The sequence below is a fragment of the Homo sapiens genome, chromosome 8, assembly GCF_000001405.40.
Source record: "Homo sapiens chromosome 8, GRCh38.p14 Primary Assembly".
Lineage (NCBI taxonomy): Eukaryota > Metazoa > Chordata > Mammalia > Primates > Hominidae > Homo > Homo sapiens.
Genome location: NC_000008.11, coordinates 97,782,192 through 97,809,638, shown reverse-complemented (window position 1 = coordinate 97,809,638; position 27,447 = coordinate 97,782,192). Strand labels below are relative to the sequence as shown.

The 27,447-nt window shown below is 43.9% G+C and overlaps 1 protein-coding gene across 1 annotated transcript in view, besides 1 other annotated feature; it reads right to left on the bottom strand.

Moving 5' to 3' along the window:
• LAPTM4B (lysosomal protein transmembrane 4 beta) overlaps window positions 1-27,447 on the bottom strand; it is a 77,226-nt gene that overhangs the window by 43,375 nt on the left and 6,404 nt on the right. Inside the window, exon 2 of the mRNA NM_018407.6 lies at window positions 4,175-4,286. Coding sequence (NP_060877.4) covers window positions 4,175-4,286 — 112 coding nt within the window. The remainder of the gene's footprint in view (window positions 1-4,174; window positions 4,287-27,447) is intronic.
• Window positions 26,619-27,127: an enhancer, noted in NCBI's record as "H3K27ac-H3K4me1 hESC enhancer chr8:98794740-98795248 (GRCh37/hg19 assembly coordinates)". NCBI's record gives its function as "activates a minimal SCP1, AML or CMV promoter by ChIP-STARR-seq in primed H9 embryonic stem cells {active_cell/tissue: H9 hESC(primed)}" and the evidence as "EXISTENCE:reporter gene assay evidence [ECO:0000049][PMID:30033119]".

Sequence of the window (27,447 nt, the reverse complement as noted above, 5' to 3'; positions counted from 1 at the left end):
AACCTCTGCCACCCAGGCTCAAGTGATCCTCCCACCTCAGCCTTCCAAGTAGCTGGGATTACAGGTACGCACCATCACACCCGACTAATTTTTATATTTTTGGTTGAGACAGGGTTTTGCTGTGTTGCCCAGGCTGATCTCGAACTCCTGAGCTCAAGCAATCCACCCACTTTGGCCTCCCAAAGTGCTGGGATTACATATGTGAGCTACCGCACCTGGTCTAACATTTCTTACTCTGTCTATTCTGAATAACCCCATTATACTCATATGAACTCTTCCAGAAAAAATATTTAATTAATGTTAAATTCATGTCACTCTGCTTTCTTTCCCCTCAGATTAAAGCTACACAATTCCAGTAGCGGGATTCCTTTTCTAAGGCAATCGAGGTTAGGAAAAGAAGTTGTAAATGATAATGCTATGGTTCTATCTGGATCTGGTAGCAACACTGCATGCCTTATTCTAATCACCAGAGATTAAGCTGGGTAATAACTATCTGACATGATAGGCTTAATTTAGCTACCCTGAAAGGCTTGCTGGTACTTAAGACTTTAAAATAGTAATTGTTTTATAATGTCCTGGATGTTAATTCCAGTGCCTTTGTGGTTTCTCTCCTATTTTATATATTTGAAAGGACTGAATGAATAGTTTGTAATTACTTTCTTTTTTCTTTTTCTTTCTGAGATGCAGTCTTGCTCTGTCGCCCAGGCTGGAGTGTAGTGGCATGATCTCGGCTCACTGCAGCCTCTGCCTCCCGGGTTAAAGCGATTCTCCTGCCTCAGCCTCCCAAGTAGCTGGGACCACAGACACACGCCACCACACCTGGCTACTTTTTTTGTATTTTTAGTAGAGACAGGGTTTTGCCATGTTGGCCAGGCTGGTCTTGAACTCCTGGTCTCAAGTGATCCACCCACCACCGCCCCCAGCCTCCCAAAGTGCTGGGATTACAGGTGTGAGCCACCGCACCCAGTCTGTAATTACTTTCCATCATTTAAATCACGTGGTTATAAAGGTACAGAAAAGTGGATATTCACCTGAATCTGTTTTTTTAAACTTCTTTTATATGTGTTTTGGTCTCCTTTAATAAATAAGCTCATAGGCCAAAGGTTATTGGACACAGCTTTCCATATTTAACTCATGTGTGGACAGGATTAGTAATCCTTGAGATGGATTATTTAATTTTATTTTAATTTTGAAATGTAGTCTCACTCTGTCACCCAGGCTAGAGTGCAATGGCGCGATCTCGGCTCACTGCAAACTCCCCCCTCCCAGGTTCAAGCAATTCTCCTGCCTCAGCCTCCTGAGTAGCTGGGATTACCAGGTGTCTATCATGCCCAGCTAATTTTTGTGTTTTTAGTAGAGATGGGGTTTTGCCATGTTGGACAGGCTGATCTCGCAACTCCTGACCTCAGGTGATCTGCCTGCCTTGGCCTCCCAAAGTGCTGGAATTACAGGCATGAGCCACTGAGCCCAGCCTGAATAATTAATTACTTCAAATTGTGCTTGAAAATTATGAAAATTGGCCAGTTGTGGTGGCTCATGCCTATAATCCCAGCACTTTGGGAGGCCAAGGTAGGTGGACCACTTGAGCTCAAGAGTTCCAGACCAGCCTACGCAACATGGCGAAACCCCATCTCTACAAAAAACACAAAAATTAGCCATGTGATGGCACATACCTATAATCCCAGCTAATCAGGATCTCAAATCCCAGGATAATATAATGCCAACTTTTCCTTTTTTTTTTTTTTTTTTTTAAGTTATCTCTGCAGTAACTTTAATGCCCCAACTTCTTAATCCATGTTATGAAACAACAGTGGTGGAAGATGATGGCTAGAAAGCATCTCTTGGTTCTCTGTTTACTTCACTACCAGTTAGTTACTCTCTCATTCTTCCTCCTGGCCTCTTACAGTTGGAGCTCCTTCAGGGCTCAGTTCTGGGCCCCGTTGCCTTTTCTTTTTACTCTTTCCCTAACAGAAATTCAGTTTTTAGGCTGATATCCTCAAATCTGTAATCTCAGTCCAAATATTTCCTCTGGGCCACAGACTCCCATGCCTGACCTTTGTAACCTCTCCACTTTAAGATGGTTCACATGTTCCAGCCATAACAATCTAGATAATAGTAGCTGAAACAGCAAAAGGTACTGAGCACTTCCTATGGGCCAGGCCCCATTCTAAGCATGTTTTACGCACTAACTCATTTAATCCTCACAACAACTCTGAGGCAAGTAGATTTTAGTAGAGATGGTGTTTTGCCACGTTGACCAGGCTGGTCTTGAACTCCTGATCTCAAGTGATCCCCACCACCCTCCCAGGCTCCCAAAATGCTGGGATTACAGGTGTGAGCCACCGTGGCCAGTCTGTAATTACTTTCTATCGTTTAAATCATGTGGTTATAAAGTCACTCCTATCTTGCAGAGGGGGAAATTGAGGCACACAATGATAAGTCACTAGCTCAAGTTTAGCATCTTCAACACACGGCGGTGTCAGAACTCAAACTGACCTCTTCTGGCTTCGGAGCCTACACCTGTATTAGTCTGTTTTCATGCTGCTGATAAAGACATACCCGAGACTGGGAAGAAAAAGAGGTTTAACTGGACTTACAGTTCCACATGGCTGGGGAGGCCTCAGAATCATGGCAAAGGGTGAAAGGGACTTCTTACATGGCGGTGACAAGACAGAATGAAGAAAAAGCAAAAGTGACCTGTTGCCCAGGCTGAAGTGCACTGGCGCGATCTCGGCTCACTGCAACCTCCGCCACCTGGGGTTCAAGCAATTCTCCTGCCTCAGCCTCCCAAGTAGCTGGGATTACAGGCACTCACCACCACACTGGGCTAATTTTTCTATTTTTAGTAGAGATGAGGTATTGTCACCTTGGCCAGGCTGGTCTCGAACTCCTGGCCTCAGCTGATCTGCCAGCCTCGGCCTCAATCTCATGAGACTTACTCACTATCACAAGAATAGCAAGGGAAAGAGCAGCTCCCACAATTCAATTACCTCCCCCTGGGTCCCTCCCACAATACAGGGGAATTCTAGGAGATACAATTCGAGATTTGGGTGGGGACACAGCCAAACCATATCAATTCCAAACAACTGTGCTCAGCTAGTTACTGAAATTAAAGTCTATTTTTCTCCCCCAGGTCTGTTCCCACCTCCTGACTCCGGACTTTCTCAGCTCAGTTAAGATGCAGGTCATCTCCTAAAACTGGAAAGCAGAAGTCATCTTTGATTCCTCCGTCTCCTTCGCTGCCCAAAACAGCAAGTTGCCAAATCCTTCCCTGTTCTCTATCCCCAGTGCAGCCTAGGTGGTATCCCCAATACCACTCTCCCAGGCTCTGTGCTCACACACCCAGTACCCTACTCAGCAGCAAAAGGGATCTTAAATGCATATATCAGTTCATGCATTTAGTTAAAACCACTGAACAGCTTTTTCTTACTTGGAGAAACAAAGAGCCCTCACCATGTCTTTCGAATGCTTCCGATCTCTAAAACTGCATGTTGAGCCACTCTCTCCTCTCTTACTTTGCTCCAACACTTTTTAAGAAAAACTCACTTGAAGTTCTCCGAAGCCAATGAGAAATAAATCTGTACTATCTTCTGCTGGAGATTATGCACAGCACTACTCCTCTCCTTTGGCATGGACTCGGCATAATGATTATAAAATGATGAGGCTGCAGTGATCTTCAAGCTGGGAGCCTAGCTTCCTCCCTGCTTACCCCACATCCACATCCCTGTACATATTTCCATTCACTGGGAAAAGGCCCTAAATTCCCCCAAATAATCTGCAACATCATTTCTAGAATGGAAAAGGATCACTCCTAGAATAAAAATAAATACTGAAACATAATAGAAGACACAAGGAGATAAGCACAAGCCTTTTCACCTTCCTTCCTGGCATTTATACCCCTTCCTCTCAAAAAAGGCCAAAAGGCCCAGGGTAGAAAGTCTATGATAATGCAATCATTTTTAAGTGGGTAAGTTAACATAAGATGAAAATAGATCTTATTTAGACTCTTGCACCTAGAAGACAGAATGTTAGACGCACACAAATATTCGTTGATTTGCAATGACAAGTTATATATCAGCTCAAATGAACTCACGAGTCTATATTTGTAATTTAATAGGAAGTGCTGGCAGTCAGATTCCCTGCCCTTGAAAATACCCAAATATCTACTACTTACTGGCATCATCCATGAACTCAAAGTCACCTCCCAGTTCAGAACTTGAAAAGTTATACTGATCCGGATCAGCCAGGGCACTCAATAAAATCAACAGTACCACAGCATTGATGATCTGCAACAAGAAAAAAAAAAAAAAAAAAGAATTTAAGTAACCCCAGGATGCAATCCTTATAATAGAAAATTACACTGACCACATGGAGTCAGGCTGGCCACAGGCAACTTCTTCAGTGGCTTGACTCTCAACACTAAGCCCCACCCATGGAGGGAGCAGATAAACATTCCCAAGGCAGAAATGCTGCCAGCCCATTCAGTTGCAGCCAAGTGCACAAGGCTTGGAGTGAAGACAACAGCAGGATTTTACCTCATTCCCCCTGGCCCAGGCACCATAGAGCAGTGAACAACACACACAAACACAGGCATCAGCCCTGGCGCCAGTGGTTGAAAAAGCACAAAAACTTTCCAGTGAGTCAGCTACACTCTAGAGCTAAAGGTAAGCAACCCAAGTTGTCTCAGTTAATCAAACATTTTACAGGTTCAAACTAGTGGAGCTTTGAGAGCTTTGAAGCCATCTAGGAAGCAGTTTCAGAGAATGAATGCAAAGCTACATAGTGGATCCAGGATCATCCTTCTGCAATAACCCTTTCCAGGCCAGGCCAGGCCAGGCCAGGCCAGTAGTCCTGTCTTCTGAGTACTGCCCTTGGCTACTTTAAACTCAGCTCCTCTAAATGACAATCACCTTCTTTAACATCTCCCACTTCTGCCCTCCTTATTTGTTCTCTAATTTAAAAAATGGCCTCGCTATTAATAATTAATGAAAAACATTCAGGCACTATGCTAAGTGCTTTATGTGGAATCTCTCTTAAGCCCTGCAATAACCTAACGAAGTGGGTACTAAATTATTCCCATGTTATACATAGCAAACTGAGGCTCAGAGGTTAAAAAACACTGCCCAGGAACAAACAACTACCAAGCTGTAGAGATGGGATTTGAATCCAGGAATTTAGGTTCCAAAACCTAACCTCTACAAGTCTCCTGTCCATATACGAAACTTGATCATCTGAGTTTACCATCTTTATCCTGCACACTCAACCAACTGCAAAATCCTGATCATTCTACCTCTTCATTTCTATTTCCTTTATTCTTCCTGTCACTGCTGGACAATACACACACATATTAACTTTGATGGGGCTGGGGTAGCAAGGATTGCAGAGTTTAAGTGAGGCACCAGCTAAGACTGGGTTGTTGTCTGCTGAGAGACAAGGTGTCTATATTGCCCAGGCTGGCCTCAAACTCCTGGGCTCAAGCAATCCTCCCACCTCTGCCTTCCAAGTAGCTGGGCCTACAGGTGCGCATCACTGGGCCAGGCCAAGACTGGCTTGTTACTTCTTTACTATTCTAAGTTCAGAAACTTATGGCACAGTTCTATGTTTTACTCTTCTCAAATGGAGTGAAGATACACAGAGAAAAGCCTCTTACTAACAACACTAACTAATGGCATATCCTACCACAAAAATCATATTTGGGTTGAACACAGTGGCTCATGTCTGTAATCCCAGCACTTTGGGAGGCTGAGGTGGGAAGATCAGTTGAGCCCAGGAGTTCAAGACAAGCCTGGGCAACACAGTGAGACCCCATCTCAACAAACAAGAAAATGAGCCAGGCACAGTGGTGCATGCCTGTAGTCCCAGCTACTCAGGAGGCTGAGGTGGGAGGATCGCCTGAGCCCAGGAGTTTGAGGCTACAGTGAGCTGATGCGCCACTGCACTCCAACCTGAGCAACATAGTAAGACCTTCCCTCAAAACCAAATAAACAAAAATCCACATACTTGGAAATACCTGTTTAAAGGAAGTGTAAATGTTTTACAGAACATCCATTCAAGAGTTTATTTTTGGCCCGGCACGGTGGCTCACACCTGTAATCCCACCACTTTGGGAAGCCAAGGTGGGTGGATTACTTGAGATTAGGAGTTCGAGACCAGCCTGGCCAACATGGTGAAACCCTATTTCTTAAAATGCAAATTAGTTGGGCATGGTGGTGGATGCCTGTAATCCCAGCTATTCAGGAGGCTGAGGCAGGAGAATCACTTCAACCAGGGAGGCAGAGGTTCCAGTGAGCTGAGATCGTGCCACTGCCCTCCAGCCTGGGTGAAAGAGTGAGACCCTGTCTCAGGGGAAGAAAAAAAAAAGTTCATTTTTAAATGACAATCCCAATTGGTTATTTCAGGATTATTGTAGGATTCGAAGTAACTTTTTTTCTTTTTTTTTTGAGACGGAGTCTCACTCTGTCACCCAGGCTGGAGTGTAGTGGCACGATCTCGGCTCACTACAACCTCCACCTGCCAGGTTCAAGCGATTCTCCTGCCTCAGCCTCTCGAGTAGCTGGGGTTACAAGTGCCTGCCACCACACCCGGCTAATTTTTGTATTTTTAGTAGAGATGGGGTTTCACCGTCTTGGTCAGGCTGGTCTTGAACTCCTGATCTCGTGATCCACCCGCCTCGGCCTCCCAAAGTGCTAGGATTATAGGCGTGAGGCACCGTGCCTGGCCGGAATAACTTTTTTTCTTCCTGTATTTTCCAAATTGTCAAATAAAAGCTGATTGCTTTTCGAAAAAAATTGTAATAATGAGAAGAGCCACTTCCCAGAGTATACATATACATATAACTAATTTAAACAGATACTACAAGCATGTGTTTAACCAAACACCTGAACTGTACAAAGAATATATAGTGAAAAGTTACCTTCTCCGTCAAAGGCATCTGAACCAAAGCGACTCCATTATGAACAGGGGCTTGGTAAAATGTGGCTAAGACCCACTGGGCTGCACTTCCAGGAGGTTAGGCCTTCTAAGTCACAGGATGAGATAGGAGGTCGGTGCAAGGTACAGGTCGCAAAGACCATGCCGATAAAACAGGTGATGGTAAAGACGCCGGCCAAAACCCATCAAAACCAAGATGGTGACAAAAGTGAGCTCTGGCTGTCCTTATTTCTCATTATGCACTAGTTATAATACATTAGCATGCATGCTAAAAGACACTCCCACCAGCGCCATGACAATTTACAAATGCCATGGCAACGTCAGGTAGTTACCCTATATGGCCTGAAATGGGGAGGAACTCTCATTTCCGGGAATTGCCCACCCCTTTCCTGGAAAACTCATGAATAATCCACCCCTTGTTTAGCATATAATGAATAAATAATTATAGTATTATCAGTCGAGCAGTCCAAGCTACTGCTCTGCCTATGGAGTAACCATTCTTTTGTTTCTTTACTTAATAAACTTACACTCACTTTACTCTATGGACTCAATCTGAATTATTTCTTGCACGAGGTCCAAGAACCCTCTCTTGGGGTCTGGATCCCCTTTCCAGTGACATCTCCACAGTAATTATTATAACAGTATCTTGTTTCTCTCCAAAGATCCAAGAAATTTCATAGCACATTTTAAACAGTGTGATTAACAAAACTATCTGAAGAAAACTTTCTGTTACAACTCCAAGGCTTAAAGGAGCCACAGGCCAGTCCCACAACTGGCATTAAGATTTATGGCAAAGATGTTATTTGATAAACTGTCAAGTTTTCTTGGCATTTCAATCCCTCTATACTTTTTTTTTTTTTTTTTTGAGATGGAGTTTCGCACTGTCGCCCAGGCTGGAGTGCAGTGGCGCAAGCTCGGCTCACCGCAACCTCCACCACCCAGGTTCAAGTGATTCTCCCGCCTCAGTAGGAGCCTGTAGCTGCGATTACAGACACCTGCCACCACACCTGGCTAATTTTTTGTATTTTTATTAGAGACAGCGTTTCACCATATTAGCCAGGCTGGTCTCAAGTGATCCGCCTGCCTCAGACTCCCAAAGTGCTGGGATTACAGGTGTGAGCCACTGCACCCAACTCTTCTATACTCTTATTTTTGAGAAAAGGTATGTGGAAAATTGTGGACTGAAATAGGATCAAACGAAATAAGAAGAATGTGCTTTGAAAAATTATGAAGAGCTGGGCATGGTGGCCTGTAATCCTAGCACTTTAGGAGGCCGAGGCAGATGGATCACCTGAGGTCAGGAGTTTGAGACCAGTTTGGCCAACGTGGTGAAACCCCATCTCTGCTAAAAATAGAAAAATTAGCTGGACATGTTAGTGTGTGCCTGTAATCCCAGCTGCTCCGGAGGCCAAGGCAGGAGAATCGCTTGAACCCAGTGGGGGGCGGAGATGGCAGTGAGCTGAGATGGCACCATTGCACTCCAGCCTGGGCAACAAGAGCGAAACTCCATCTCAAAAAAAAAAAAAAAAGTATGAAGAACCACACAAGGGCAATGTACTCCATTATTGTTATCATAACAGGGTAGGGTTTTAAAGCTGAAATGAAAAAACATAAATTTGGGATTCATGGGCAAAAAGCTTTAGAGGAGGGAGCAGAGGTAAGGAGCTGGTCAGAGAAGATGGAAAGGTGAGGAAGTCGTACAGTGTGAGTCTGGGGTCCCGTAGGGCTACTTATGGAGTCTTGTTTTGTTTTTTTTAATTAGAGATGGGGTGTGTCACTATGTTGCCCAGACTGGTCTTGAACTCTCAGGCTCAAGTGATCCTCCTGCCCCGGCCTCCCGAAGTCCTGGGATTAAATGCGCGAGCCACCACCTGACTTTGTATTTTATTCTAAGTGTAACAAGAAGTCAACGGGGCTGGGCACAGTGGCTCATGCCTGTAATCCTAGCACTTTGGGAGGCCAAGGCGGGCAGATCACCATAAGTCAGGAGTTTAAGATGAGCCTGACCAACATGAAGAAACCCCGTCTCCACTAAAAATACAAAATTAGCCGGGCATGGTGGTGCATGCCTGTAATCCCAGCTACTCCGGAAGCTGAGGCAGGAGAATTGCTTGAACCCGGGAGGCGGAGGTTACCGTGAGCCGAGATTGCATCGTTGCACTCTAGCCTGGGCAACAAAAGCGAAAACTCCATCTCCAAAAAAAAAAAAAAAAAAAAAAAAAAAGAGGTCAAGGGGTAATATTACAGAAGGGAAGAATGTCATCTGGCCAGAGTTCAAATGAGTGAATATACATAAAATACCTAGACCGGTGACTGGCATACAATAGCCACTCAAATTAGTTATCTTACCTCTTCACATCTTAACAAGAACCATGTTAAAAGCTCTTGGTTACTAGTTTTCTAGATCTTCTAAAGCCAGTGTTAAGACACCTGCTTTACGCCTGTGCTTTCCCCGCACTCTCAGTCCCTAGGGACCTGTCAACTCTTAATCCGCTTATTATTCCCCCGTGGAGTCTACTGATCATATATAGCTACTAATTGCCTACAACACATATTTGCTAAGTGCTTAGGAAGAACTCCCTAGGACTCAGAACATGAAGTTAAATACATCATGTACCCAAAAAACAAAAAGCATAAAGCAATGAATGTGACAAGAGCTCCGAGAAAGAATCATGGAAGTTAAGGAGAGTTACAGTCAGGGGTTGCAGGGACCTGCAACAGAGATGGGAGCATTTGAACAGGAACTCAAAAGATGAAGATTTGGAGCCTGAGAGGTGTGGAAAAGAACAATTCCAAGTATGAGCAATGCCACTGAGACAAGGACATCTCCTCAAGACAGCAAGTTCAATGTGGCTGGAACGCCAGGGTCAGGGGGTATAAAAGGAAATGTTAGAGGATAGAACCAAAAATGTAGGATGGGGCCAGGTGGTGAAGAGGCCTCGAAACTAGGACAGGAATTCTAATAGTTAATGAAAATGCCATAAAGGTTTTGAGGAAGGATATGACATGATCAGAGCTATGTTGTTAGAAAGAACAAACTGGCAGAAGTGGGAAGGCTAAATTAGAGGCAGGAATCCAATCTGGTGTCAAATAAAAATTATAGGCGGCCATTGTTGCAGATTGAGCTCCTGCACAATAGGGCCTCAACATACTAGACTACAAACCAAAATGCAGTCACCGTGCTCAGGTTCAGATAACCTGAAGTCACCTGATGCTAACCATGTTATTTTTGTATTGTTCTGTCTTCCTGCCCCTGCCTTAAAAGAAAAGTCCCTTTGAAACGACTCATCTGCTTTTAGTTCTTTGTTTCTGGTTTCTTCAGCCCATTTCTCTCTAAAAAGCCAAGCTCCTCTGCTTAGCTCACAGGATACTCTATTTTATGAGATGAAGTGTTGCCCAATTCTAGAAAGCCAATTAAGATCTTAAAACTAAATTGTTGTAATTTTTCTCCTTTGACCCTGGAAACACCTACAATAGTCTGGCTAAGAAGTAATAGGGCATTTCATCTCCAATTCTCATGACAACCCTGTGAGATGGTCTTCTTCCATGTTAGGTGGTGAGGTTTAGTGACTTTATCTTAGGGCCTATGTGTGGGAGAGCCAAGGTTGGAACCCCAAGACCTTTCCACATGGAGGCAGAATTACTAGAGATACAGTAACTGACTACAAGCAAAGAACACAGAAAAAGAAGCAAAGAAGACCTAAGACTTCAAGCCTGGTGACAGGATGTATCTTGTCATTATCAGAAATGGAAAAGGTCAGTGGAAGGACTATGACGACGTCGATTTTAGATACACTGTGCTGAAAGTACTGCAGGATGTCCAGATAATCCTATTTTTAGCTTATCCATCTGGCCTCTAACCCTTCTCTTTGTACTTGCCCTGTGGTATTCATGTGTGCCCTGTTTTTCTGTTTGCTACTGGAGTTCTGACAGCCTGATGCTGTCAGATACTTACATGCCTTTCTGCCCTCTCCTGCTCCATCTCTGTAACACATCACATGGTATCTGACAACAGAGTCCTGGCTGCTGGCTCAGTGTGTCCTTCTTACTCCAGAGTGGGTCCTGGGTCCTAAACCTGCCAGTGTCATAAATGCTGCAGTAACTATTATCACCCACTCTACCTCTAGCCCTGTGTTCTTTCTCTCGGGGGACCAAGTCCCTGTCCAGGTGCCCTGGTTCTTCGCGAGGCCGTCCAGATAGAGGGGACACAGATAAAACAAAGATATGACAGGTAAGCTCATTACACATCACAAATGACTCACCACTGTGACTTTTAATCAGTGTGGAATTTTCCTAATATAAGAAGGTCTGTGAACCACCACATATCTACTGTATTATTATTATATAAAACCTCAATTGTTGGATGGGAATCTGGCACACCATGAATGATGTGAATAGAAAATGGGGAGCCATGAGGACCTATGTCTGTGCAAAGGGGTTGGGGGTAGGATTAGCCATGGTAGCTACTAAACCCAGACAGATAGAAAAGGTCAAACATGAGTCAAAGCCCCAACAACACTGGGTAAGAACTTCCTGAAAGAGCGAAAATGGCAATCACTCAATCATCCATTCTAACCAAGAATAAAACACCACAAATGAGAACCAAGACGACGCTCAGGCTTGCCAGGAGCAGAATACATAATGCCCACAGTTGATCTAAATGCAAAAGAGGGGACACACTTATGCTCTAATTCAGCTAATGCTCACTTATATTTGGGTTTTCATTGTCTGTTTTTTTATGTTATGAGCAAACTGTTCCTGTTCTATTTACAAACTGATCCTGTGATGTCACATATTTTTCCTTGTTCTTAACAATGATTACTTCCACATGTAAATAAATCCAACTTCTGTCCAATTTCTAAAGTGGTGTTAGGCCCCTGAATATGTTCCAGGAATTCAAAGTCCTTTTCACCCATAAGTCATCTATCAGATCCCAAATAAGAGACTTGCAGCTTGAATCTAAACAACTGAAAATGTAATTGTCAGCTCTCCTTTTTAAAAGCCTCAATAAAAAAAATCCTTATGAACATTCAAACCCACTGATACAGTAATTAAACAACGATCAGAAATTTACACAGGTTGTATCCAAAAATGATCACTGCAGACTTATGTATAATAGTGAAAACTTGAAACAAAAGTAGAATGACTGAATATTAAAGCCAAGTAACAGAATCCTATACAAGCATTAAAATCTTATTTTTTAAAATGTTAATGACAAGAAAATGTTCACAGAATCACACTAAATGAAAAGCACAGTATTAAAAAGTTGTAATTCCAGCCGGGCGCGGTGGCTCACTCCTGTAATCCCAGCACTTTGGGAGGATGAGGCAGGAGGAGCACCTGAGGTCGGGAGTTCGAGACCAGGCTAACCAACATGGAGAAACCTCTTCTCTACTAAAATAGAAAATTAGCCGTGCGTGGTGGCGCATGTCTGTAATCCCAGCTACTCGGAAGGCTGAGGCAGGAGAATCGCTTCAACCTGGGAAGCAGAGGTTTCAGTGAGCCGAGGTCGCACCGTTGCACTCCAGCCTGCGCAATAAGAACAAAACTTCATCTCAAAAAAAAAAAAAGTTGTAATTCCAATTTTATTATTAATATCTAGTTTTTTATTTGAGACAGGATCTCACTATATTACTCGACCTGGTCTCAAACTCCTGGGTTTAAGCGATGCTCCCACAGAAGCCTCCCAAAGTGCTGGGATCACAAGCATGAGCCATTGTACCCGGCCATTTCTTTATTTTATTATTTATTGAGATTTATTTATTTATTGAGATAGAGTCTCACTCTGTCACGCAAGCTGGAGTGCAATGGCACAATCTCAGCTCACTGCAACCTCTGCCTCCTGGGTTCAAGCGAATCTCCTGCCTCAGCCTCCTGAGTAGCTGGGATTACAAGTGCCGGCTACCACATCCAGCTAATTTTTGTATTTTTAGTAGAGAAGGGGTTTTACCATGTTGGCCAGACTGGTCTCGAACTCCTGACCTCAGGTGATCTGCCCACCACAGCCTCCCAAAGTGCTGGGATTACAGGAATGAGTCACTGCGCCCGGACGTGCCCGGACATTTCTATCTGTAATGTGCTCACATGTATAAATCATAGGTAAAAAGCACTACAACATACAATGATTATAAACTAGGTCCTTTTTTCCCCCAAATTGTCTAATGTAAGCATAATGTAAGCATAAAATAACAACTAACATGCTAAGACAATGATCAATAATAAACAAATCTGTCCAGGCATTCAAATCAAACCTGGAAATAGATATAACAAGGGAGAAACATCAGAGTGAAATAATATTAATTCAAGGATCCGGACAAGCACAGTGGCTCATACTTGTAATCCCAACACTTAAGGAAGCCCAGGCAGGATGACTGCTTGAGTCCAGGAGATCAGCCTGGACAACATAGTAAGACTCCATCTCCATAAAAATTAGACTCATGAATAATCCACTCATTGTTTAGCATATAATCAAGAAATAACTGGCTGGTGCTTATAATCCCAGCACTTTGGGAGCTCGAGGCAGGTAGATCACTTGAGGTCAGGAATCGGAGACCAGCCTGGCCAACACGGTGAATCCCCATCTCTACCAAAACACACAAAAACTAAGCGGATAGGGTGGCGCATGCCTGTAGTCCCAGCTACTGGGGGGGCCAAGGCAAGAGGATCGCTTGAGCCCGGGAGGTTGAGGCTGCGGTAAGCTAAGACTGCGCCTCTGCACTCCAGCCTGGGCAACAAAGGTGAGTGGGGAAAACAGCAAATAAATCAAGAGGAGGTGTGATTGGAAATGAACTAAGCTAAGGTCCTTGCATTGTCTAGGAAGAGATCAAAAGTACCAATTAGTGTTAGATCTTTTTTTTTTTTTTTTTTTTTTAAAGACAGAGTCTCACTTTGTCGCTGAGGCTGGAGTGCAGTGGGGCAATCTCGGCCTCTGGGGTTCAAGCAATTCTCCCACCTCAGCCTCCAGAGTAGCTGGGACTACAGGCAAGTGCCACCACACTCAGCTAATTTTTCTATTTTTAGTAGAGACAGGGTTTCACCATGTTGGCCAGGCTGGTCTCAAACTCCTGACCTCAAGCGATCCACCCACCTCAGCCCCCCAAGATGCTGGGATTACAGGTGTGAGCCACCACGCCCAGCCAGTGTTAGACTTTCTTAAAAGTCAAAGATATATAAACTCTACGGCAAACCATTAATAGAAAGTCTTGAGTGATAAGATACAGGGGTCTTTGCTTAGTGATAGCTTAGCTGTTTATATTTTACGTCCTTTTATGTAAACGTACAATAATCAGTAAAAATGATTCACAATTTAAAAAATAGGCCAGGTGTGGGTGGCTTACTCCTGTAATCCCAGCAATTTTTGACAGGCTGAAGAGTAAGGATCCACTGAGACCAGGAGTTCAAGACTAGCCTGGGCAACATAATGAGACAAATAATAATAATATTTAGCCAGGTGTGGTGGTAGGCACCTGTGGTCCCAGCTACTCTGGAGGCTGACGCAGGTAGATTGCCTAAGCTCAGGAGGTTGCGGCTCCAGTGAGCTATGATCATGCTACCACACTGCACTCTGAGTGACAAAGTGAGATTCTGTCTCAAAAAATAATAATAAATAAACATTATAATCTGATTTGCTGTTTTCTGATACTTGGCTAATTTCTATATTCCAGTATTTGGAAATTTTTTCTAAAAGTTATTAATGGGGCTGGGCATGGCGGCTCACGCCTGTAATCCCAGCACTTTGGGAGGCTGAGGCAGGTGGATCACCTGAGGTCAGGAGTTTGAGACCAACCTGCACAACATGGTCAAACCTTGTCTCTTAAAAATACAAAAATTAGCCGGGCATGGTGGCGGGTGCCTGTAATCCCAGCTACTCAGGAGGCTGAGGCAGGAGAATCACTTGAACATGGGAGGTGGAGGTTGCAGTGAGCCAAGATCACGCCATTGCACTCCAGCGTGGGTGACAGAGCGAGACTCCATCTCAAAATAAATAAATAAAATTAAAATAAAATAAAAGCTATTAATGGCAGGTATGCCTCTCATTTGGACTCAATTTCAATGGGCAAATCAAAGGGAAGTTTCAATCAGACTCTCACTATGGTCCTGTTCTGATATCAAAATAAACTTCTTCCCATGCTTGTTATTTCAATTCAAATAAATATGGTAAATATATTCTGGGGGGAAATTAGATTTATTGTAAAATCCTATTTGCCTAAGAAATTCACTAAAATTAGTTCACCTACTATGTGCCCAACATTCTGATTGAAACTGGGTTGTACAAAAATGATTAAGACATGGTCCCAAGCTGGTCATGGTGGTTCACGCTTGCAATCCCAGCACTTTCGGAGGCTGAAGTGGGAGGACTGCTAGAGGCCAAAAGTTCAAGATGAGCTAATTTTTATATTTATTAAAAAATTTTAAATTAGCTAGGTTTGGGCCGGGTGCAGTGGCTCACACCTGTAATCCCACCACTTTGGGAGGCCAAGGCGGGCGGTTCACCTGAGCTCAGGAGTTCAAGATCAGCCTGGCTAACATGGTGAAACCTCATCTCTACTAAAAATACAAAAATTAGCCAGGTGTGATGGCAGGTGCTGGTAATCCCAGCTACTTGGGAGGCTGAGGCAGGAGAACAGTTTGAACCCAGAAGGCAGAGGCTGCAGTGAGGCAAGACTGCACCATTGCATTCCAGCCTGGGCAACAGAGCAAGATTCTGTCAAAAAAAACAAAAAACAAAAAACAATTAGCTGGGTTTGGTGGTGTATGCCTGCAGTCCTAGCTACTTGGCAGGCTGGGGTGAGAGTTAATTCTTGAGCCCATGAGTTCAAGGCTGCAGTGAGCTATGATGGTGCCACTGCTCCCCAGCCTGGGCGACAGAGCAAGAACCCCAACTCTTAACCCTTGTCCCATTAGTCCCAAGAATACTTGCCAGCAGCCCTAGCAGCTGCAGTGTTTATCCTGAGATAAGTTTGCCACAAAAATCTTGCTTTTATTATTATTTTCACATTCTTCTAGTATATCAATTTGGGAAACGATAGACATTCTGTTTACAGCATTCATTTTTAATGGTGGTATTTCCATGTACAAAATATACTAATTCTCTATCGCTGAAGTGTCAAATCCTACAAAACAGCATTCCTATGGATGATGTTGACATCACTCTTGAACAGCTGTTGGCCGAAGATTCATTTGAACAATCCGATTTTTCTGAAATAGACAATACTGATATTCTGTTTAGAAATAATTCCAAGAACAATTTTTATTTTATTTTACAATGAAAATCACTCAGATTTGCTTCAGCCTCATAGGGTGTTTATACAAAATTAAATGAGTGCTGGGGGCGAGCTAAACCTTTTTTTTTCTGAACAGAAAAATGGTTTAAAAAAAAGACACGGTCCCTGTGCCCAACATTAGTCCAGTGGAAGAAACATACATCAACAGCCAAGTAAAATGTAGAATAAACGCTATAACATTCATTAACTCATTCATTCAGTTATTCAAAAATTAATCTATTGTGCCACAAATATATGCCAGGCACAATGCTAAGCATCACATATATATTATGGCAAAGCCCTCAAGGCAGCCTATTATCTAGTGGGGAAAATAATAAATTGGATGTTCTATTCAGAGTGAACACAAATTCTGTTACCTTATCAACAACAGTATTTTTTTTTCATTCTAGAGTTTCTAGTTATTATTTTCAAATCTGTTGTATCCTTTGTATGATTTCTGAGGTGACACTATTAACACCAGAAAGTAACAGACCTAAACATCCTGAGAGAGAAAAATTATAGCACAAACAATTTTAGGGTATCAGATTAAGTGACTAATTGACTGTTATGCTGGGCGCAATGGCTCACGCCTGTAATCCCAGCACTTTGGAAGACTGAGGAGGGCGGATCACTTGAGGTCAGGAGTTCGAAACCAGCCTGGCCAACATGGTGAAATCCTCTCTCTACTAAAAATACAAAACAGCCACGTGTGGTGCCAGGAGCCTGTAATCCCAGCTACTTGGGAGGCTGAAACAGAAGAATCACTTGGACCTGGGAGGCAGAGGTTGCAGTGAGCCGAGATCGTGCCACTGCAATGCAGCCTGCGCTACAGAGAGAGATTTAGTCTCAAAAAAGGAAAAAAATAAAAAATAAAAAAAAAATTGACTGTTAGGCTAGGCACGGCGGCTCACACCTGTAATCCCAGCACTTTGGGAGGCCAAGGGAGGTGGATCATTTGAGCTCAGGAGTTTGAGACCAGCCTGAACAACATGGTGAAACCCATATCTACAAAAAATACAAATAATTAGCTGGTTGTGGTGGCTCGCACCTGTAGTCCCAGCTGCCTGGGGAGCTGGGGTGGCAGGGACCTGGAGCCCAGGAGGTCAAGGATGTAGTGAGTGGAGATGGTGCCACTGCACTCCAGCCTGGGTGACAAACTGTGATCTTGTATCAAAAAAATAAAAATAAAAAAGAACCAACTGTTAAGAAAAACTCTACAGCACACAAGCAGGAAAATGAGCCACTCTTGGCAATCCTTGGAGTTGGACTATAATGGCGGCCATGTTGTAAGTTGCTGAACTTCTAAGTCAAAGGATGGTCTCTTTGGTTATAGACTCTGAGGGAAAAAGTTTAAGGAGTAAAATGGATGTTGTATCTTTTATTAGAGCCTCATTTCAACAGATATAATTTTTTAATATATTATGGAAGTTTTTCCCCCCAAATTCAACCAGGTCTTTCTGATTCACCAGTTCAGTCAACAGTACCATCCTTTTAGGACGTCTTCCTCATAGGTGATGAACTAAACTAAGAAACCACCATCCCCATATGCACCATTTTATATTATAAAAACAGTGCTGCCTCCCTATCAAGTCTGATCATTACTACACCATTCTACAGATGAGGACTCAGACTTCAGGGAAATATGCACATACCATGTTCATAAAATACAGGTGCATAAAGTTTTCAACTGACATTCAATTGTTGGTGCTTTGATTACAAATGCCATATACGCTCTTACCAGTAACCCAGGTTCCTCCCAAGAAGCCACCACACCCCATTCACAGGCCCTGGCCAACTCTGCTAAACCAATCCCTGGCAGCAAGCTCAAAATTCCTTTCAAGGGAGTGCTCCAGACAGCACTCCCAATCTGACAAGGGGCTAGCGTGCAAAACGATCTGCCACACCAGCAGAAGCAATCCCAATTTCTCTGAGTGAACTTCAGTCGGTTCTGGTGTTCATTCTCAGGCTAAGACACCATTACGTACTCAAAGAACACAGGGTGCACGTAATTAACAAGAAGGATGTCTAGACAATGGACAGAAGGCAAAGGATGGCCCCCAGAAGAGGCAAAGACCTACTGGGAGACATGGAGGGACAGGGTGTGGAGGCAGAAAATGACTGTGCTCCCTTTCATGTCTTAAAGAACATTTTAAATATTTGAATATGAAGAGAGAGGCCCAGCCCAGAGCCGAGTTCAGGATGGACAATGGAGACCTAAACTCTGTGCACAAAAAAGTATCAACCAGGCATGGTGGCTCATGCCTGTAATCCCAGCACTTTGGGAGGCCAAGGCAAGTGGCTCGCTTGAACCCAGAAGCTCGAGACCAGACTGGGCAAACAAGCAAGACCCTGTTTCTACAAACAATAATTTGTAAAAATAGCTGGGTGTGGTGTGTGCCTGTGGTCCCAGCTACTCGGGAGGCTGAGGTGGGAAAACTACTTGAGCTGAAAGGTCCGAGGTTGCAATGAGGCGTGATTGCACCACTGCACTCCAACCTGGGAAATAAAGTGAGACCCCTGTCTCAAAAAAACAAAAAGCTAGGACGGGCTCAGTGGCACACACCTGTAATCCCAGCTACTCGGGAAGTTGAGACACGAGAACTGCTTGAACCCAGGAGGCGAAAGTTGCGGTGAGCCAAGACTGTGCCACTGCACTCCAGCCTGGGCAATAGAGCCAGACTTTGTCTCAAAACACAAAACCAGCTGGGCGCAGTGGCTCACGCCCATAGTCCAACACTTTGAGAAGCTGAGGCGGGCAGATAACTTGAGATCAGGAGTTTGAGACTACCCTGGCCAATGTGGTGAAACCCCATTTCCACTAAAAATACAAAAATTAAGGCCAGGCACGGTGGCTCATGCCTGGATCCCAGCACTTTAGGAGAGTGAGGCGGGCAGATCACAAGGTCGGGAGTTCGAGACCAGCCTGGCCAACATAGTGAAACTCCATCTCTACTAAAAATACAAAAATTAGCCAGGCATGGTGGTATGTGCCTTTAGTCCCAGCTACTCAGGAAGCTGAGGCAGGAGAATTGCTTGAACCCAGGAGGTGGAGGTTGCAGTGAGCCAGGATCACGCCACTGTACTCCAGCCTGGCGACAGAGTGAGACTCTGTCTAAAAAAAAAAAAAAAATTATACAACCACTATGGAGAACAGTTTGGAGGTTCCTCAAAAAACTAAAAATAGAGCTATCATACAATGCAGCAATCCCACACCTAGGTATATACTCAAAAGAAAGGAAATAAGCTTATCAAAAAAAAAATAGCTGCACTCCCATTTTACTGCAGCACTATTCACAATAGCCAAGATTTGTAAGCAACCTAAATGTCTGTCAACAGGTGAATGGATAAAGAAACTGTGTTACATATACAGAATGGAGTACTATTCAGCCATAATGAGATCTTGTCATTTGCAACAACATGGATGGAACTGGAGGTCATTATGTAAAGTGAAATAAGCCAGGCACAGGAAACCAAACTTTGCATGTTTTCACATATTTGTGGGAGCTAAAACTTTAAACCATTGAACTCACGTAGCTAGAGAGTAGAAGGATGGTTACCAGAGGCTGGGAAGGGTAGTGGGGAGTGACGAGGCAGAAGGTTAATGGGTACAAAAAGGTGGAAAGAGGGCCGGGCAAGGTGGCTCATGCCTGTAATCCCAGCACTTTGGGAGGCCGAGGCAGGCAGATCACCTGAGGTCAGGAGTTCGAGACCAGCCTGACCAACATGGAGAAATCCCATCTCTACTAAAAATACAAAAAAAATTAGCCAGGTATGATGGTGCATGCCTGTAATCCCAGCTACTCGGGAGAAGAATTGCTTGAACCCGGGAGGCAGGGGTTGCGATGAGCCGAGATCACACCATTGCACTCCAGCCTGGACAATAAGACCAAATCTCCGTCTCTCAAAAAAAAAAAAAAAAATTAGCCAGGTATGGTAGGGTATGTCAGGTTCCACCTACTTCAGAGGCTGAGGAGGGAGGATCATTTGAGCCTAGGATGTCAAGGCTGCAGTGAGCCATGGTCACACCACTGCGCTCCAGCCTGGGCAAGAGAGACTCTACCTCAAAAAAACAGGCCAGGCGTGGTGGCTCACACTTGTAATCCCAGCACTTTGGGAGGCCAAGGTGGGCGGATCACCTAAGGTAGGGATTCAAGACCAGCCTGGCCAACATGGTGAAACCCCATCTCTACTAAAAATACAAAAAATTAGCCGGGCGTGGTGGCACTTGCCTGTAATCCCAGCTACTTGGGAGGCTGAGGCAGGACAATCGCTTGAACCTGGGAGGCGGAGGTTGCAGTAAGTCGAGATCACACCACTGCACTCCAGCCTGGGCAACAAGAGCAAAACTCCGTCTCAAAATAAATAAATAAATAAATAAATAAATAAATAAATAAATAAATAAATAAAGAGTGAGCACCAAATGAAGATGTTTTCCAAAAAAATGGCTGTCAGGGCTGGGCGCTGTAGCTCACGCCTGTAAACCCAGCACTTTGGGAGGCTGAGGTGGGCGGATCACGAGGTCAGGAGTTCGAGACCAACCTGGTCAACATGGTGAAACCCCGTCTGTACTAAAAATACAAAAAATTAGCCGGACGTGGTGACAGACACCCGTAGTCTCAGCTACTCAGGAGGCTGAGGCAGAAGATTCGCTTGAACCCGGGAGGTGGAGGTTGCAGTGAGCCAAGCTTGAGCCACTGCACTCCAACCTGGGCAACAGAGCTAGACTTCATCTCAAAAAAAAAAAATGGCTGTCAGAAGTTGCAGCCAACAGACCCTTAACAAAGGAAATTTTAGAATATATATTTCATACAAAGGAATAATGATCCTAGACAGCAGATCTGAGGTGCAAAAGAAAATGATGGGCTGTGTACTTTGGGTGTTAAAATATTCATTTTTGACCAGGCGTGGTGGCTCATACCTGTTAACCTCAGCACTTCTGGGAGGCCAAGGCAGGTGATCACTTGAGGTCAGGAGTTGGAGACCAGCCTGGTCAACATAGTGAAACCTCATCTCTACTAAAAATAGAAAATTAGTTATCTCTTCCTTTCTCCACCATCGTGGTGTGTGCCTGACTCCGCTTCTTGCCATGTCTTCTCACAAGACTTTCAGGATTGTTTCCTGGCCAAGAAACAAAAGCAAAAATGTCCCATTCCCCAGTGGATTCAGATTAACAACTGGTAATGAAATCAGGTACAACTCCAAAAGGAGACACTGGAGAAGAAGCTAGCTGGATCTATAAGGAATTACACACAAGATGACACATATTTACACTGTGTCAAGGCCATCACCATCTTCCCACAGCAAGCTGAAAATGGCGCCACCATCTGGACAGTTGGACGTTTTATTGGGAATATATTTTTTCTCTCTGAATCATTATGAATGTGTTGGTTGGCTGGGTTCGGTCATAAATATGAGACCTTTTATTTTAAAAAAGAAATACAAAAATTAGCTGGGCATGTTGGCAGGTGCCTATAATCTCAGCTACTTGGGAGGCTGGCGCAGGAGAATCACTTGAACCTGGGAGAAGAGGTTGCAGTGAGCCGAGATCATGCCAGTGCGCTCTCCAGCCTGGGCGACAAAGTGAGACTCTGTCTAAAAAAATAAATAAATAAATCATTTTTAAGTAAGAATTATAGTGGTTACAAAAAGAAAAAAGGAGTAATGGAGAAAGAGGGATGCAAACATGCGGGTAATTCTAAACAAACATTAATTGTAAATTGATGTGTTTGGGAACTTAGAAAAGGACACTAAAATACAAGAGAGAAACGACTGGAGTTAAAGGACTTGTATTCTTTAAAAGAAAGACAAAGATATTATTAACCCCAGACTTTAATAAGTTAGGTGTATCTGTTAAAAGAAATCGGCCAAGCACAATGGTTCATGCCTGTAATCCCAGCACTTTGGGAGGCCGAGGCGGATGGATCATGAGGTCAGGAGATCGAGACCATCCTGGCTAACATGGTGAAACCCTGTCTCTACTAAAAATACAAAAATTAGCTGGGCCTGGTGGCGGGTGCCTGTAGTCCCAGCTACTCGGGAGGCTGAGGCAGGAGAATGGCGTGAACCTGGGAGGCGGAGCTTGCAGTGAGCCGAGATTGCACCACTGCACTCCAGCCTGGGCAACAGAGCCAGACTCAGTCTCAAAAAAAAAAAAAAAAGAAAGAAACATCTCCTAGCCTCCCTCACAGCTAAGTCACATGTCTTGTTTTTGGTTACTGGGATGTAAGTGAAAGTGATGTGTGCATTTTCCATTTCACATCCTTAAAAAAATAAAGCTCCTTGTCCTCCAGATACCCCTTTCTCCCTTACAGCAGGCCAGGACACAAACATGGTGCTGGTAATGTCTCCACCATGAAGACAAACATAAAGGAGGCAGCCTCCTTAGAACCCAGAGAAGGAATCCATGCACAATATTTGGGATGGTGGAGCTACACCCCCACCCCCCAGCCTGGGTCTCTGGATGGCCTCAAGGAACAATGTTGGCCAACACTCCCTGAACTGTTAACAGGAAAGAAATAAACTTCTACCTTCCTGCAGTTTTGCGTTTCTTTGTTATAGCAACTTTATCTATAGCATAACTGGCTCACCTTCAGTTTTGCAACCCCCAGGCCCACTACTGTTAGTCAACACAAATCTAAGTACCTACTACATGCTAAGGGTTACTACTTCACCATCTCTGCACCATGGAACCAACTGGCTGTGTAATTTTAGTAGCTCAAGGTTAATGGTTTTTTTTTTTTTTTTCTGAGACGGGAGTCTCGCTCTGTTGCCCGGGCTGGAGTGTAGCGGCACGATCTCAGCTCACCACAACCTCCGCCTCCCAGGTTCACGTGATTCTCCGGGCTCAGCCTCTGGAGTAGCTGGGACTACAGGCACGTGCCACCATGCCTATTTTTTTGTATTTTTAGTAGAGATGGAGTTTCACTATGTTGGTCAGGCTGGTCTCGAACTCGGAACCTCATGATTTGCCCGCCTCGGCCTCCCAAAGTGCTGGGATTACAGGCGTGAGCCACCACACCCGGCCTTGTTTTTTTTTTAAGTTCAATGTTATGTTTACTAATAATTTGAAATTACATTTCCTCAAGCATTTTTTTTTAACCTCCCACATATTTTCCTGAGAAACAATTTCCCTTGGAAGCTGCAACTGCAAAGAGGCAACTCGAAACTCTTAAAACGTTAGGAGCAACTGAAGAAGTGTGGTCTTTGTTTGCTTTTTACTTTCCGTCAAGCACAATGAGTTAACCAATAACTCAACAACTCTCATTCAGTCTCCAAAAGCTCTACTAAGAGTCTCAAGAACTGGGAGGAGGAAAAGGAGAGTTGCTAGGGCTCACACATTATTTCCACTAGCATTCCTTTGACCAATGACAAATCAGCCCAAAAGGTGGTGGGGCAGAATGGGACAACTGTGGCCTCTTCCTTCAGGGCCAAGATTCAAAGTTAAATTGACAAAACAAATATATTACTCATTCAAACATAATACACATTGTACGACAAAACTCATGTTAACTTAATACTTTATGCTAAGTTACTGAGAAAATAACTTTTATCTGAGGGATGCAAGTCTTTATTATCAGGCCCAGAGAGACATTAAAACGATACAGCAATCACTTTCTACTCCCCCTCCCTTTTGAGCTATGTCTTCAACTGTTGAAACTGATTGCTATTGCCACAAGCAGCTGCAAATTAACCTAATAATGCATAGCTCAACAATGGATAGCCAATCACGAACCAATGTTGTTTCTGTAAATCAAGGACAATTCCTGACAAACAACTTTGTATCAGTACACTCCCTGTTCCCCCTTTCAGTCTTTAAAAATGCACTTATAACTGCTGCTAATCTGTGTGTACAGTCAGGGCAACGTCAGTCTATATTCTGGGGTTGCAATCCTCAAGCCTGGCCCAAATAAACTCTCTACTTACATTAATTTTGCCTCAGCTTCTTCCTTTTAGGTCGAAGTTAAATATATTTAAAGTGAATCCGAGAGTGATTGGTATTAATAAACAGTTTTGATAGCAATCTTTATTTATTGGCCACCTTGTCTGTAAAACATTCTAATGAACATTTACCATAAAAGTGTGATAAGAGGCTCAGGCCTGCAATCCCAGCACTTTGGGAGGCGGGCGGATCACCTGAGGTCAAGAGTTCTAGACCAGCCTGGTCAACATGGTGAAACCCCATCTCTACTAAATTAAGCCAGGCGTGGTGGCCTGCGCCTGTAATCCCATGTACTCGGGAGGCTGAGGCAAGAGAAGGGCTTGAACCCGGGAGGTGGAGGTTGCAGGGAACCGAGATGGCACCACTGCACTCCATCATGGGTGACAGAATGAAACTGCCTCAAAAAAAAAAAAAGTGTGATAAAAGCTTAAAAAGATATTGAATACCACTGAAATCTCCACCAACCAATGTTCTATAGAACTGCCCTTGATCCTTTATTAGATGAGGGGAAACCTGTACTTTAAAAATCCAATGTCCTTCCCTATCTAAATCTGTTCAATTCCTTAAATCAGATGGAGAAAACCTAGGTAGAAAGAGAGACTTGTATCACTCACTAACTGGTAAAAATTCCTATCCATCTTATTCATACCACTAAGAGCTGATACCCACTATAGTTTGTATCTAGAGAGCTATATATAACATACTGCCTGGTTTTCCAGCCATCTGAAACAGCCTGCCATTTTAATCTAACTTAAAAACTGCTTTCATTGGCCAGGCGTGGTGGCTCATGCCTGTAATCCCAACACTTTGGGAGGCTGAGGTGGGCAGATCACGAAGTCAGGAGATTGAGATCATCCTGGCTACCACGTTGAAACCTCATCTCTATTAAAAATAAAAAAATCAGCGGGGTGTGGTGGTGGGCGCCTGTAGTCCCAGCTACTCGAGAGGCTGAGGCAGGAGAATGGCTTGAACCCGGGAGGCAGAGCTTGCAGTGAGTGGAGATCCCACCACTGCACTCCAGCCTGGGTGACAGAGCGAGACTCCGTCTCAAAAAACAAAACAAAACAAAAACAACAACCAAAAAAAACTGCTTTCATCATATCGCTCCTGTTCATAATTCTTCAATGGTTCCCCACTGCCTACAGAATAAAATCCAAACTCTTTAGCCTACTATTTAGTCTTTTACAATCTAACATAGTGGGGAAAACACCAGGCAATAAAGATGACACAATTGCCACAAATCAGTCCGTTATTCTATCCTGAAATTACGGGCCAAGTCACAGAATCTGACAGTTGGAAAGAAGCTATTAATCTTAAAAGAACATATCACCACCTATCATGCGTGACCCAGGGTTGCTTTGAGGTCTAAATAAGAACAAATGTGAATGCCCACCGAAAGCTATCAATCACTCTACAAATACAGGATGTTGGTCTTACTATCCTGTACTCAGACAAATCAATAGTTGTTGAACTTCTCAGAATACAAAGAAAATCTATCAGGCTTGTGAAGGGGTGAAGAAAATTCTCCCCCTTCTACAACTTCTGAAGGTTTGATCATTTGAGTCTAATAAACAAACTGATAATAGATCAACAGCAAGAAACGGCATACAAATGTATTACGTGCACACGCATACGTGGGAGTCACAGAAATAAGAAAACTCAAAGGAAGGGCCAGATGGTTTAAGTTTTAATGTCTTTCTGAAGTTACAGAAAGAATAGGGGTTTAGATCACGGCAAAACAGGTTATGGGAGGGAGGGACGGAAAGGCCTGGCTAGGGAAGGTGGTCTTGTTATGCAAATGAGACCCCACAGGTAGAAGGCTTGAGAAAAGATACTTGGTAGCCTGTGGTATGTGGTAAACTTCTCTATTAGACCTTCAAAGGTGTCAGACTCTCAATCTCTCGGTTAATCTTTCCAAGGTCTGAACATGGGGGATGGGGTGGGGAGGTGTGCTCAGAGAAAGCCTGGCTGTTTATTTCACTAATGCAGATTTTCCCTAAAGATGCAAATCTCCACAAACAGCAGCTTTTCAGAGCTATTCTTGTTTGCAGTTTCTCTAATACTATCTTGAAATATACCAAAGAGGTATATTTTGGGTGAGATATTCTGGTTTCCTTTACTTGAGTAAACAAGGAAACTGTGAGTTTCTATGTGAACAAGTGGATTCTTTGAAAGACCAGGTCTGCACTTGTATCCCAGAACTTAAAGTATAATTAAAAAACAAAAGAAAAAGAAAGAAAGAAAATTAAAAAGAAAGACCAGGTCATAAAGCCAATGAAGCAGCTACTCTGACCTCTTTTATCCTTTATAATCTGATATATGGCTAACTACCCTGTGAACAGTGTCTGGCACAGAGGCATTTGGTATGTATTTGCTGTGTCTAAGTTCCTAAAAAATAACTGAACAAGGATATTTAAAAAAAAAAAAAAAAAAAGGCCGGGCGCGGTGGCTCACACTTGTAATCCCAACACTTTGGGAGGCCAAGGCGGGCAGATCACCTGAGGTCGGGAGTTTGAGACCAGCTTGACTAACATGGAGAAACCCCGTCTCTACTAAAAAATAAATAAATAAATAAATAAATAAATAAATAAATAAATAAAATACAAAATTAGCCAGGTATGGTGGTGCATGCCTGCAATCCCAGCTACTTTGGAGGCTGAAGCAGGAGAATCACTTGAACCCAAGAGGCGGAGGCTGCAGTGAGCCGAGACTGCACCACTGCACTCCAGCCTGGGCAACAAGAGCGAGACTCCGTCTCAGAAAAAAAAAAAGGCTGGGGACGGTGGCTCACGCCCGTAATCCCAGCACTTTGGGAGGCCGAAGCAGGTGGATCAGGAGGTCAGGAGTTCGAGACAAGCCTGACCAACATGGTGAAACCCCGTCTCTACCAAAAATAAAAAATTAGCCAGGGATGGTGGCGCATGCCTGTAGTACCAGCTACTCAGGAGACTGAGGCAGGAGAATCGCTTGAACCCGGGAGGCAGACGTTGCAGTGAGCTGAGACTGCGCCACTGCACTCCAGCCTGGACAACAGAGTGAGGCTCTGTCTCAAAAACAAAAGCCTGGAGTGGTGTGGAGTGGTGGTGTGAGCCTGTAGTCCCAGCTACTTGGGAGGCTGAAATGGCAAGGCTGCTTGAGCCAGGGAAGACAAGGCTGCATTGAGCCACTCCAGCCTGGGCAATAGAGTGAGATCTTGTCACAAAAAAAAAAAAAAAAAAAAAAAAAAAGCTGGGCATGGTGGCTCAGGCCTGTAATCCCAGCACTTTGGGAGGCTGAGGGGAGCAGATCACCAGAGGTCGGGAGTTCGAGACCAGC